Raw genomic sequence first — 12,891 nt, forward strand, 5'->3', positions numbered from 1 at the left:
TACAAAATGATGCAGAGTTGGCTGCATCAAAACTGACACCTGTTTGGGAGGCCGAGGCGGGAAGATCACTTGAGCCCGGGAGTTCAAGACCAGCCTGGACAACATGGTGAAACCCCCTCTCTACAAAAAAGTTAAAAAAAAAAATTAGCCAGGTGTGGTGGTGCATGCCTGTGGTCCCAGCTACTCAGGAGGCTGAGGTAGGAGGATCGTTTGAGCCCAGGAGTTTTGAGGCTGCAGTGAGTCTGGGCCACAGAGAGACACTGTCTTTAAAAAAAAAAAAAAGAAAGAAAGAAAGAAAAAGAAAAAACAGAAAAACCTGACATCTGGAAGTTCCGAGATTGGGTAGAGGGCACAGATATTTCATAGAGAAAAGAGAAAAACTGGCCAGGCGTGGTGGCTCACACCTGTAATCCCAGCACTTTGGGAGGCCGAGGCAGGAGGATCCCTAGAGCCCAGGAGTCTCAGGCTGCAGTGAGCCATGATCGTGCCTCTGAATAACCACCACACTCCTGCCTGGGCAACACAGCAAGACCTAGTCTTTAAAACAAAAAAGAGAAAGAAAAATGTGATATGACCAGTTGAAAATGGCATATTAGGCCGGGCGTGGTGGCTCACGCCTGTAATCCCAACACTTTGGGAGGCTGAGGAGGGTGGATCACCTGAGGTCAGGAGTTTGAGACCAGCCTAGCCAACACAGTGAAACCCCGTCTCTACTAAAAATACAAAAATTAGCTGGGTGTGGTGGTGGACGCCTGTAATCCCAGCTACTCGGGAGGCTGAGGCAGGAGAATTGCTCGAACCCAGGAGGCGGAGGTTGCAGTGGGCCGAGATCGTGCCATTGCACTCCAGCCTGTGCAACAAGAGCAAAACTCCATCTCAAAAAAAAAAAAAAGAAAGAAAGAAAAAAAAAAAGAAAATAGGTCAGGCGCAGTGGCTCATGCCTGTAATCCCAGCACTTTGGGAGGCCGAGGCGGGTGGATCACGAGGTCAAGAGACTGAGACCATCCTGGCCAACATGGTGAATTCCCGTCTCTACTAAAAATACAAAAATTAGCCCGGCGTGGTGGTGGGCGCCTGTAGTCCCAGCTACCCAGGAGGCTGAGGCAGGACAATTACTTGAACCTGGGAGACGGAGGTTGCAGTGAGCCAAGATTGCACCACTGCACTCCAGCCTGGCAACAGAGTGAGACTCCGTCTCAAAAAAAAGAAAAAAGAGCATATTAATTTTTTAAAGAGAACAATACAAAACTTTTTTAAAAAGAAAAAAAAAACTGCAGTGGTCTAATTCTCTAATCCAAAGAAGTTGTGTCTCTCCCCAGACAAAACATTAAGGAGGCCAGGCGCAGTGGCTCACGCCTGTAATCCCAGCAATTTGGGAGGCTGAAGCAGATAGATCATTTGAGGTCTAGAGTTTGAGACCAGCCTGGCCAACATGGCAAAACCCCACCTCTACTAAAAATACAAAAATTAGCCGGGCATGGTGGCACACGCTTGTAATCCCAGCTACTTGGGAGGCTGAGGTGGGAGGATTGCTTGAACCTGGGAGGTGGAGGTTGCAGTGAGCCAAGATCACGTCACTGCGCTCCAGGCTGGGTGACAGAGCAAGATTCCATTGCAAATAAATAAATAAATACATTAATGAGAGCTCAGGGCAGCCAGGCAGGGCATGCTTATGAATGCCACTGCAAGAAATTGGCACACACCCTGAACCACTGTGCAGAGACCTCTCGTGCGCTATAGGCATACAGCAGGGATCCCAGCCCCGTCCCACTTCCCCAGGGTCCCAGCACTGGGATGGAGCTCACTGTGGGGCTGCAGCCGGGTGAGGTCACGCAGGATGGTGCGGAATGATGGCCTCTGGGTTGGCTCATAGGTCAGACACTGGCTGGTGAGTGTGGCCAGCTGTGGGCAGGAGGGCTCGGGCAGCCGGTGCTGCCTCTGGTAGAAATGCTCCTTCTGTTGGGAAAGGGACCCAGAGGAGTCAACATCCTCCCCTCGCCCCCAACCCGTTCCCCAAGAGGCAGAGTCAAGTCCCCAGAGTGGACCGCCAGGTGCCCGCTCTTATCAGTTCCATTATACAGATGAGGCAACTGAGGCTCCACAAAGTGGGAGGACGTGCTCACAGCCGTAGAACCAGGACTGGGACCCAGGTCCAGTGATTATGCAGAGCTGGAGTGTCACAGTCAGCCTCCTGCCCCAAGCTTCCCTCCTGCCCCTCCTGTAGACCACAGCTCCTTAATACACTGAAGCCTCAGCCTTTGCACAGGCCATGCACTCTGCCTAGGCTGCCCTTCCTAGCCAGGCTTGTTGGCATAATTCTACACTTAGATAAAACCTCTTCTGGGGCCGGGCACTGTGGCTCATGCCTGTAATCCCAGCACTTTGGGAGGCCGAGGTGGGCGGATCACCTGAGGTCAGGAGTTTGAGACCAGCCTGACCAATATAATGAAACCCCATCTCTACAAAAAATACAAAAATTAGCCGGGTGTGGTGGCATGTGCCTGTAATCCCCCCTACTCGGGAGGCTGAGACAGGAGAATCGCTTGAACCCAGGAGGCAGAGGTTGCAGTGAGCTGAGATCACGCCATTGCATTCCAGCCTGGGCAATTAGAGTGGAACTTCGTCTCAAAATAAAACCACCACACTCATGAACCTCCTTTGGGAAGCCTTGTCTGACCCCACTGCTGGGTGAGGCGCATCCTCAGCCCTTCTTCCCCACTCTGCAGCCTGGGCGTCTCCCATCGCTGCCCTGGTCACTCTGCCTAAAACTGAAATCAAGTCTCTTACTTGCCTTCTGTGTGCCAGGCACAAGTGACTTCCACAAGGACCTAAAAAGGCTGGGACTACATTGAGCCCCAGCGAGTGGCCCACCTGCTGGTAGCCCAGAGAGACTTGAAGTCACGAGGCCAGAAGGGATGCAGCTTTGAGCTCTGATTCTGTCCTCTGGATTTCTTGGAGGGGCCCCCACTGCGGGGAGGGCCCAAGGGTCTCCTAGACATACCTCGGAGGGACTGCGGCTCTGCAGAGGGGCCTCTCCGTCAAAGCAGATCTCCAGGAGGGTGGCGCCAAACCCCCACTTGTCCATGGCGGTGCTTAGGCTGTTGGCCCCACCTGGTAGGCATTCGGGGGCCAGCCAGGGGATCCTCTCCACCCGCTCTGGGAGGCCAAGGTCAGAGGTCACCAAGGGTGAAAGGAGCAGGGGAAGCCCCCCACTGTGCCCAGGTCCCCTCAGGTACTCACCCTCCCTGGAGAGGGCGCCCAGGCCCACGCCAGGATCACTCAGCTTGATGAAGGGGCTGGTGCCCTCTGCCAACCCCAGCCGGGCCAGCAGGATGTTCCGGCCACACACATTACCATGAACCAGGTTCTTGTTCTCCTGAGGTGGGCAGGAGAGGGGGTGTGGCCACTCAGGAGAGGCACAGACGCCAACCCCAAACCTGGTCCCCATAGGGACAGCCAATGTGAAAAGGACAACTGTGACTATCACTGGGTTTCTTTCTGTTTTGTTTTTTGGGGGGTTATTTTTTTCTTGTTTTTTTTTTTTTTTTTTTTTTTTAAGACAGGGTCTCACTCTGTCTCTCAGGTTGGAGTATAGTGGCACGAACATAGCTCACTGCAGCTTCAAACTCCTGGGCTCAAGCCTTCCAAGTAGCGAGAATTACAGGTGCACATCACCACAGCCTAGCTGATTCTTAAATTTTTGGTGGAGATGGGGTCTAGCTATGCTGCTGCCCAGGCTGGGGTGCAGTGGTGTGATCATAGCTTACTACGGCCTCAAATTCCTGAGCTCAGGTGATCCTCCCACCTCAACTTCCTGAGTACCTCGGCCTACAGGTGCAAGTTACCACATTGGCTAATTTTTTTTGTATTTTTAGTAGAGGCAAGGTTTTGCCATACTGGCCAGGCTGGTCTCAAACTCCTGACCTCAGGTGATCCACCCGCCTTGGCCTCCCAAACTGCTGGGATTACAGGTATGAGCCACCACACCTGGCTATTTGTTTATTTTTAAAAGATGGGGCCAGCTGGGCGTGGTGGCTCACGCCTGGAATCCCAGCACTTTGGGAGGCTGAGGCGGATGGATCACGAGGTCAGAAGTTCGAGACCAGCCTGACCAACATGGTGAAACCCCATCTCTACTAAAAATACAAAAATTAGCTGGGCGTGATGGCAGGAGCCTATAATCCCAGCTACTTGGGAGGCTGAGGCGGGAGAATCATTTGAACCCGGGAGGCGAAGGTTGCAGTGAGCCGAGATCATGCCATTGCACTCCAGCCTGGGTGACAGGGCGAAACTCCACCTAAAACAAAACAAACAAAAAAGATGGGGTCTCGCCCTGTTGCCCAGGCTGGTCTCGAACTCCTGGGCTCCTGGCCCTCCCTGACCGACCCAGGCCCCACACACAGGCCACACACCAGGTAGCTGAGGGCGCTGGCCAGCTGCTGGGCCACCACCATCTTCCAAGCCATGGGCACATGGCCCCGCTCCCTCCGCAGCCACACATCCAGGGGTCCGTGCTCCACGTACTCTGTCACCATGATATCTGTAAAGACACAGCTGCTCTGGGGCAACCTGCCTGCTTCTGCCCTCTGGATGGCGGGGAATTGGGGGAGACGCCAGGGAGGGACTTGGCATGTGGCTGGGGAGGTGTCAGGGCAGAGGTGTGGGTGGAGTTTGGTCTGGGTTGAAAGTGAGTTTGGGGAGAGAAGAAATGCGGAATGCAGCAGAGGCAGCGGTGGATGAGGGCATTGGGGTCCAAGTGGGATGGGGCACGGAAGAAGTTGAAGTTCAAGAGAGAAAGGTGGGCTGGGCGTAGTGGCTCACGCCTGTAATCCCAGCACTTTGGGAGGCTGAGGCAGGTGGATCACCTGAGGTCAGGAGTTCAAGGGCAGCCTGCCCAACATGATGAAACTCCATCACTACTAAAAAAAAAAATACAGCCGGGCGCGGTGGCTCACGCCTGTAATCCCAGCACTTTGGGAGGCTGAGGCGGGCGGATCACAAGTTCAGGAGTTCGAGACCAGCCTGGTCAATATGGTGAAACCCCAACTCTACTAAAAATACAAAAAAATTACAGTGAAACCCCATCTCTACTAAAAAGACAAAAAAATTAGCCAGGCATGGTGGTGGGCGCCGGTAGTCCCAGCTACTTGGGAGGCTGAGGCAGAAGAATGGTGGGAGACGGAGCTTGCAGTGAGCCGAGATCACGTCATTGCACTCCAGCCTGGGCGATAGAGCAAGACTCCATCTCAAAAAGAAGAAAAAAAAAAAAATTAGCTGGGCATGGTGGCACATGCCTGTAATCCCAGCTATTCGGGAGGCTGAGGCAGGAGAATTGCTTGAACCCGGGAGGCGGAGGTTGCAGTGAGCCGAGATCACGCCACTGTATTCCAGCCTGGGTGACACAGTGAGACTCCGTCTCAAAAAAATTAAAAAAAAAAAGAGATAAAGGTGGCAGGGTACAGTGGCTCATGCCTGCAATCCTGTCACTTTGGGAGGCTGAGGCAGGAAGATCCCTTGAGCCCAGGAGTTTGAGATCAGCCTAAGCAACATAGTGAGACCCCATCTCTACAAAAAATTTTTAAAAATCAGCCGGGTGTGATAGCACACGCCTGTCATCCCAGGTGCTCAAGAGGCTGAGGCGGAAGGATCGCTTGAGCCCGGGAGGTCGAGGCTTCAGTGAGCCATGATGGCACCACTGCATTGCAGCCGGGGCAACAGAGGGAGACCCTAGTCTCACAAAAAAAGAGATAAAGGTGAGCCTACAAAGTAAGCAACTAGGGATGGGGGGGATGGGCATGGATAAGCAGAGGCTAGGGGCTTGAGGTTGGGGTGTAGGAGATGTTTGGGTACCAGAGTAGTCAGAGGGATGTGGGTCAGGGTGTCGGCCAGGGTCCAGGGGAAAGTGGGGGAGATGCACACACACACACACACAGGGGGGTTGAGGGATGGGTGGGTCTAGGGTTGTTCTGTACAAGGGCTTTATTTTTTATTTATTTATTATATTTTTTGAGACAGAGTCTCGCCCTGTCGCCCAGGCTGGAGTGCAGTGGTACAATCATGGCTCACTGCAGCCTTGAACTCCTGGGCTCAAGTGATCCTTCCATTCCAGCCTCACAAGTAGCTAGGACTACAGGCATAGGTCACCATGCCTGGCCCTGATTTTTAAATTTTTTGTAAAGATAGGGTCTGGACATGTTACCCAGGCTGGTCTTGAACTCCTGGGTTTAAGCGATCCTCCCACCTCTGCCTCCCAAAGTGCTGGGATAGGTGTGAGCCACCACACCTAGCCTATACAAGGAGTTTTGAGCTACCTGCAGAGGAAAGGAAGAGGTGGGGTTAGGCAGGGTTGGATGTGCAGGGGCTGAGGCCTAGGAGAATCAGCACACATCAGCACTGGAGTCTGCCTGAGGCCATAGTGCTGATGGGGCCAGGAGCAGATGGGGGCTGGACTGTAGAGGTTGTTTGGGAGGTTGATGGAAGTGGGGATGTAGTTGGGAATCAGGGTGGGGGTTGAGACTGAGGGCAGGTGAGGGTCGACGTGTTGGGATGTAAGTTATGGGCTGGAATATCGTTAGGGGTTGGGGTCTAGGTTGAAGGTCAAGGTGTAGCCCGGGATCAGAGTACAGGTGAGAGTTGAGAAATAGGCATAGGTTGGGGTGTAGGTCGAGGGTTGGGGTACAGATCAGGGAGTGGGTATAAGTCAGGGGTGGCCTGCCAAAGGGGGATGGGTATGGCGGGACCCACTCACTTTCAGGGCCGCGCACACAGACGCCATGCACGAAGGCCAGGTGCGTGTGGGAGACCTGGCTCATGAGGCTGGCTGTCTCGTAGAAGGCCTGTGGGGACCGGGCAGGTCAGGTGGCTGCAAAGCCGACCCCTCCCATCCCACCTCCTCCACGGACACACCCCTCCCATCCCACCTCCTCCACAGACACACCCCTCCCATCCCACCTCCTCCGGCCACCTCCTCCACAGACACACCCCCAGGCCTGGCCCTGCCCACTCACCAGGGCGATGTCATGGTGACTAGGGTCCAGCACTTTGAGCACCACTCGTAGCTCCTGCCCACGGTCCCTGCCAGGCACGAGGGGGTCCTCGTCATCCATCTTGCCCTCCTCAGGGTCCCCGCTGCCCTCCACTCGCAGGCGGCCCTCATACACGTTGGTCCTTGTGCCCTGGCCCAAGTGGGACAGCTGCGGGATCATGTGGCACAGAATACCGCCATGGTGAAAGTTAGCAGCTGATCTCCCAGGGCCCCCAGCACCCACATCCCCAGGGGCCCTGCCCTTGCCCCGGGCCCCTTCCCTGCACCCACCTGGGTGATCTCCTTCTGGTCAACCCGGTGGAAGCTGAGCTGGCTGAGGTTGAGTGTCCTGGGGCTGGCCCGAGCCCCCCGCATGATGATGAGATTGGAGGTTTCTGGGGGCAGGCATCAAGTCATGGAGGGCGGGCCTGGGGGAGAGATGCCACATCCCACCCAGAGGTCCCCCTATCATCGTACCTCCTGGTTGGGGCAGGCAACAGCGACGCAGAGAGAAGCAGTCATCCCCGGCCCTCAGCAAGCAGCCCTGCAAGGCAGCCCCAAGTTCCCGAACGCTGGGGAAGGACCGGCCCCAGCCCTCCAGCACGAAGGCCCCGTCCTGCTGCTCAATGGGGAACTTTCGGAGCCGCAAGCTCTGCATGCCGTCTGGTGCCTGGCAGGAGGTGGCAGAGGTGGGAGCAGTAAGCAGGGGACCAGGCAGGGAACGTGTCCAGCCCCAGCCCCAGCCCCCAGCCCTGGGCTCACCTGGCTACGCTGGGCCACTGTGAGGATCAGGCGGTAGGGGTGGCTGGTGCTCCAGTGAATGAGGTACAGGCCGTCCTCGGGCCGCAGCTTGGCCTGCACAAATGGCTCCCTGGAAGGTGGTCCAGGGGGACTATCAGGCCACCTGGGGCCACTCTGGACCCATACCCGGGAACAATGACACTCATTACCTACTTAGAGGGCACACACACAGCTAGGACAAGTGTCAGACACAGCCACTCTTGTGGGGACACTAACTCTGGACACACAGCCACTTACATGGAGACACAATGCAGCAGCAGGCACACACCTGCTTTTTTGTTTATTTGTTTGTATTTTTTAGACGGATTTTCCCTCGTCACCCAGGCTGGAATGCAATGGCGTGATCTCAGCTTATTGCAACCTCTGCCCACCTGGGTTCAAGCAATTCTCTTGCCTCAACACCTCAACCTCCCGAGTAGCTGGGATTACAGGTCCCTGCCACCATGCCCAGCTAATTTTTATATTTTTAGTACAGAGGGGGTTTCACCATGTTAGCCAGCCTGGTCTCAAATTCCTGACCTCAGCTGATCTGCCAGCCTCAGCCTCCCAAAGTGCTGGGATTACAGGCATGAGCCACTGTGCCCGGCTACCTGATCTCTCTTTTTTTTTTTTTTTTTTTTGAGACAGGGTCTTGCTCTGTTGCCCAGGCTGGAGTGCAGCGGTGCAATCTTGGCTCACTTCAGCCTGGACCTCCCAGGCTCAAGAGATTCTCCCACCTCAGCCTCCTGAGGAGCCAGGATTACAGGTGTGCCCAGCTAATTTTTGTGTTTTCTGTAGTTAAAAGACCTTGCTACATTGCCCAGGCTGCTCTTGAACTCCTGGGCTCAAGTGATTCTCCCACCTCGGCCTCCTAAAGCGCTGGGATTACAGGTGTGAGCCACCACACCCAGCCTACTCCTACTCTTGTACTTGACGCCAGACGGGCCCTGACAAGGTGACACACACTCCAAGATTGGAAACAGCCATCAGGAGCCGGATGGGCACACACCCAGCCATGACCATCGCCACTCACAAGGGTGACACACGGTGGATGGCCAATCACACAAGCAAAGGACAACGATCCCAGACACAACTAATCACCCAATATGACAGGGCAACATAGGGGCCAGGGCATCCCAGACACAGAGGTGACACAAACATGCACTATAAAGTGTCATGGTCACATAGGTCCAGACACCTACATGTGCAGTGGCTGACACACGTGGTCCCCAAACACCTGTCTGTACGGGGGCAGCACACATATAGCCTTGACAGCAGGCACGGCCACAGGCCTCACAAGGTGAAATGGCCACTTCCCCCTCCCCTGGCATCACAGGTAGGACAAGGGACAGAGAGTCACAGGGCCAGTGACCAGACAAAGAGACAGTCACAAATCACGACTTGGCAGCACACAGGACAGCCACACACTCCCCTGCACCTGATGATGACATAAGTACCGACAACTTCACGCCCTCAGGCCCACAAGTCACACACAGGACCCCGCTGAGATGGTGACTCACAAGTTACCAGCACAGGCAGCCGCCTGCAGAGGTGGAAGCATCCAACATACGCCTGAATGGTCACCAGCGTCAGGGTAACACACAGTCCCATGAAAATCACCAGTTCTGTGCAATGACAACCTCAACACACAATGACAGTCATGGCCGGGCGTGGTGGCTCATGCCTGTAATACCAGCACTTTGGGAGGCCGAGGCGGGTGGATCACCTGAGGTCAGGAGTTCAAGACTAGGTTGGCCAATCTGATGAAACCCCATCTCTACAAAAATACAAAAATTAGCCTGGCATGGTGGCGAGTGCCTGTAGTCCCAGGTAGTCAGTTGGGAGGCTGAGGCAGGAGAATCGCTTGAACCCGGGAGGCGGAGGCTGCAGTGAGCTGAGATCATGCCACTGCACTCCAGTTTGGGCGACAAAAAATAAAAAAAAAATAAGACGTGCACCTACACACACACCCTGCACAGCCCCTAGGGCTCACAGTCTAGTTGGCACCCTTGGCGGTGGCCCCCAGCGCCCCCCACCCAGCACTCACAGCAGGGGTCCGTGGATCCCATCCCGGATGCTCATCACCAGCCGTGGGGGAGCCACCTCGTGGCACAGGTAGTGGCTGGAGTCGGCCGTCAGGCGGAAATAGCCGTCCACCAGCGACACGAAGGACAGCGCCGCAGCCCGGGAAGGCAAGCTCAGCTCCTGCCAGCCAGGGGCGCATCAGGTGGGTGTCCTCCCAGGCCATGATGGGCCCTAGCCCAGCCCCTACCCTGGGCCTCACCAGGCACTTGTTGTCCTGCCGGTGGATGCTGACACAGTGCTCTTTCAGCACCACGTGGGTGATGTCCCGGAAGTCACAGAAGTAGGCCCACAGTGGCTCCCGCGGCCTGTCTGCCGGCTGGCCGACTGCCTTGTGAGCCTTGGCCTTCTTCCCAAACAGGCTGGCTTGGGGGTTCCTGCCACTGCTGCCACTAGAACCCTGAACACCCAGCAAGTGGGGCAGAGGATGGAGAGGGCAATGCCCGTTTATACCTCCTGCACTTTCCCCTGGGGAGAGACTGGAGCCAGAAGGGCCAGGCACCAACCTAGGTTGACCTCCCAAGTCCCAGTGTCACAGGTGGGATGGGGACCCACCCCAAAATCATACACATGCTGGAAGCCGGACCCTTAGGGAAGGCAGAGAGAAGAATCCTGACCCCCTCACACCCAGGTGCCAGTCCCCAGATGAAGGGGTTCCCTGGAGGTGCAGACCCCAGAAATAAGGTCCCCAGGGGGTAAGCAGATGGAGGACCTTCTCCAAGAAACTGGCCCTAGCGGACAGGTGCCCCAGAGCCATGTGGGGAGAGGGCTCAGGTCAGCCACCCTCAGAGGCTAGGGTCAAGGATGAACACAGAAACCCACCCCAGCCCAACCTGAACCCCCAGGGCGGAAGGGGCGCCTTGCTCACCTCCTCCTTGTTCACCTCCTCCTCTACTGGCCACCACTGGATGCCACCAGTGCCTGTCACCAGCACCTCGTGGGTTGGGGGCCCAGCAGCAGACTCAGGGCCAGGGTCTGTAGGGGCCACCCCACTGTCCCGGATGTAGCAGGGCTCCCCCTCGGCCTGGGCCAGCAGCCTCAGGTGGCACACGGGCACACGCTCTGTGCCGAAGCGGGGTGCCAGCCGCTCGAGTGTGGCTAGGTATTTGACCATGACCATCTGCTGGGAGAGTCGGCCCGGCTGGAAGTCCCGCAGGAACCTGCGGAAGACGTTCCGAAGGCGCAGCCGGGTCAGGGCGCTGTGCTGCCGGATATGCCGGCGGAAGGAGCGCGGGATGCAGTCCTTGAAGCTGGGGGGAAACACAGTGAGGGGCTGGTCAGGGACCTGGGTTGCAGGCCCAGCTGGGTGACACAGGGCAAGTGGCTTAACCTCTTTGAGCCTCAGCTGCCTCATCTGGAAAACAGGCACACTAGCCAGGTGTGGTGACTTGAGCCTGTAGTCTCAGCTACTTGGGAAGCCAAGGCGGAAGGATCGCTTGAGGTCAGGAGTTCGAGACCAGCCTGGCCAACATGATGAAACTCAGTCTGTCTCTACTAAAAATACAAAAATTAGCTGGGCTTGATGGTGGGCACCTGTAATCCCAGCTACTCAGGAGGCTGAGGAAGGAGAATCTCTTGAACCTGGGACGCAGAGGTTGCAGTGAGCCAAGATTGCGCCACTGTACTCCAGCCTAGGTGACAGAGAGAGACTCCGGCTCAGAAAAAAAAAAAAGTAGAGGCACGGCAATATGCAAAGTCTACCCTGGCTCCCAGATGCTCAGGACATTTCCCCCTGCCTACACAGCGTCCCCACCCCATTCCCAGACACCTGGTCTTCTTGGCCACCTCCTCCAGGGGGATGCCATGGCGGAGAGCGAGGTGACAGAGGTGCAGAAAGGCCATGCCCAGGCTCTCATTCTTAAAGTGGTGGATCTCCTCCTCGGTCGACAGCTCCCACAGTGATGCCACGTCATTCACAAACTCATGCTTGCCCTGGGAACAGGAAATTGAGCAGAAAGGGAGGTGTGAGAATGCGTTCCTCTCTAGCCCAGAGGTATCCAATCTTCTGGCTACCCTGGACCACACTGGAAGAAGTGTCTTGGGCCCTACATAAAATACACTAACACTAATGATAGCTGATGAGCTAAAAAAAAAAAAAAAAAAAGAATATCGCAAGCCGGGCATGGTGGCTCACGCCTATAATCCCAGCACTTTGGGAGGCCAAGGCGGGCGGGTCACCTGAGGTCAGGAGTTTGAGACCAGCCTGACCAACATGGAGAAAACTCGCCTATACTAAAAATACAAAATTAGCCAGGTGTGGTGGCGCATGTCTGTAATCCCAGCTACTCCGGAGGCTGAGGCAGGAGAATCACTTGAACCTGGGAGGCAGAGGTTGCAGTGAGCTGAGATCATGACATTGCACTCCAGCCTGAGCAACAAGAATGAAACTCTGTCTCAAAAAAAAAAAAAAATCACAGCAAAATCTCAGAATATTTTAAGATAGTTTATGAATTTGTGTTGGGCTTCATTCAAAGCTGTCCTGGGCAGCATGCAGTCCGCAGGCCAGGGGTTGGACAAGCTTACTCTAGCCAGAGAACTCTAATTTCCTGCGTCTTACCACCTTGAGGAGGGGAGAGACCACCATTTACTGGAAAGGCCAAATACACAGCATACACCCCTCCTCTTGTCAATCTTGTGCCTGTGGCAGACATTACTAATCAATCACAGCACTCTATCCCCTTCAACCTGAACTCTTGGCTGGGCATGGTGGCTCACACCTATAATCCCACAATTTAGGAGGCTGAGGCAGGTGAATCACTTGAGGTCAGGAGTTTGAGACCAGCCTGGCCAACATGGTGAAACCCCGTCTTTACTAAAAATAGAAAAATTAGCCTGGGGTGGTGGCGGGCTTCTGTAATCTCAGTTACTTGGGAGGCTGAGGTGGAAGAATCGCTTCAACCTGGGAGGTGGAAGTTGCAGTGAGCTGAGATCACGCCACTGCACTCCAGCCTGGGCCACAGAGCAAGACTCCATTTCAAAAAAAAAAGATCGGCTGGGAGCGGTGG

General features: G+C 55.4%; 1 protein-coding gene across 20 annotated transcripts in view, besides 1 other annotated feature; it reads right to left on the bottom strand.

Moving 5' to 3' along the window:
* The window catches only part of TYK2 (tyrosine kinase 2), a 30,040-nt gene that overhangs the window by 4,230 nt on the left and 12,919 nt on the right, over positions 1 to 12,891 (bottom strand). For 8 of the 20 annotated variants that reach the window (NM_001406461.1, NM_001385198.1, NM_001385197.1 and 5 more), the window contains 13 exons: positions 11,655 to 11,818; positions 10,755 to 11,136; positions 10,089 to 10,286; positions 9,852 to 10,009; positions 7,787 to 7,895; positions 7,502 to 7,694; positions 7,316 to 7,419; positions 7,008 to 7,193; positions 6,749 to 6,836; positions 4,413 to 4,540; positions 3,241 to 3,376; positions 3,002 to 3,156; positions 1,806 to 1,956 (listed from right to left, as the gene is read on the bottom strand). In NM_001406461.1, coding sequence (NP_001393390.1) covers positions 1,806 to 1,956; positions 3,002 to 3,156; positions 3,241 to 3,376; positions 4,413 to 4,540; positions 6,749 to 6,836; positions 7,008 to 7,193; positions 7,316 to 7,419; positions 7,502 to 7,694; positions 7,787 to 7,895; positions 9,852 to 10,009; positions 10,089 to 10,286; positions 10,755 to 11,136; positions 11,655 to 11,818 — 2,152 coding nt within the window. Of the gene's footprint in view, positions 1 to 39; positions 121 to 1,805; positions 1,957 to 2,791; positions 3,157 to 3,240; positions 3,377 to 4,412; positions 4,541 to 6,199; positions 6,312 to 6,748; positions 6,837 to 7,007; positions 7,194 to 7,315; positions 7,420 to 7,501; positions 7,695 to 7,786; positions 7,896 to 9,324; positions 9,527 to 9,851; positions 10,010 to 10,088; positions 10,287 to 10,754; positions 11,137 to 11,654; positions 11,819 to 12,891 lie in introns of those variants that run through there. The other 12 variants (NM_001385202.1, NM_001385203.1, NM_001385205.1 and 9 more) reach the window with 12 other exon arrangements.
* Positions 9,296 to 9,796: an enhancer, noted in NCBI's record as "H3K4me1 hESC enhancer chr19:10474734-10475234 (GRCh37/hg19 assembly coordinates)". NCBI's record gives its function as "activates a minimal SCP1, AML or CMV promoter by ChIP-STARR-seq in naive H9 embryonic stem cells {active_cell/tissue: H9 hESC(naive)}" and the evidence as "EXISTENCE:reporter gene assay evidence [ECO:0000049][PMID:30033119]".

This window comes from Homo sapiens, chromosome 19 (genome assembly GCF_000001405.40).
Source record: "Homo sapiens chromosome 19, GRCh38.p14 Primary Assembly".
Lineage (NCBI taxonomy): Eukaryota > Metazoa > Chordata > Mammalia > Primates > Hominidae > Homo > Homo sapiens.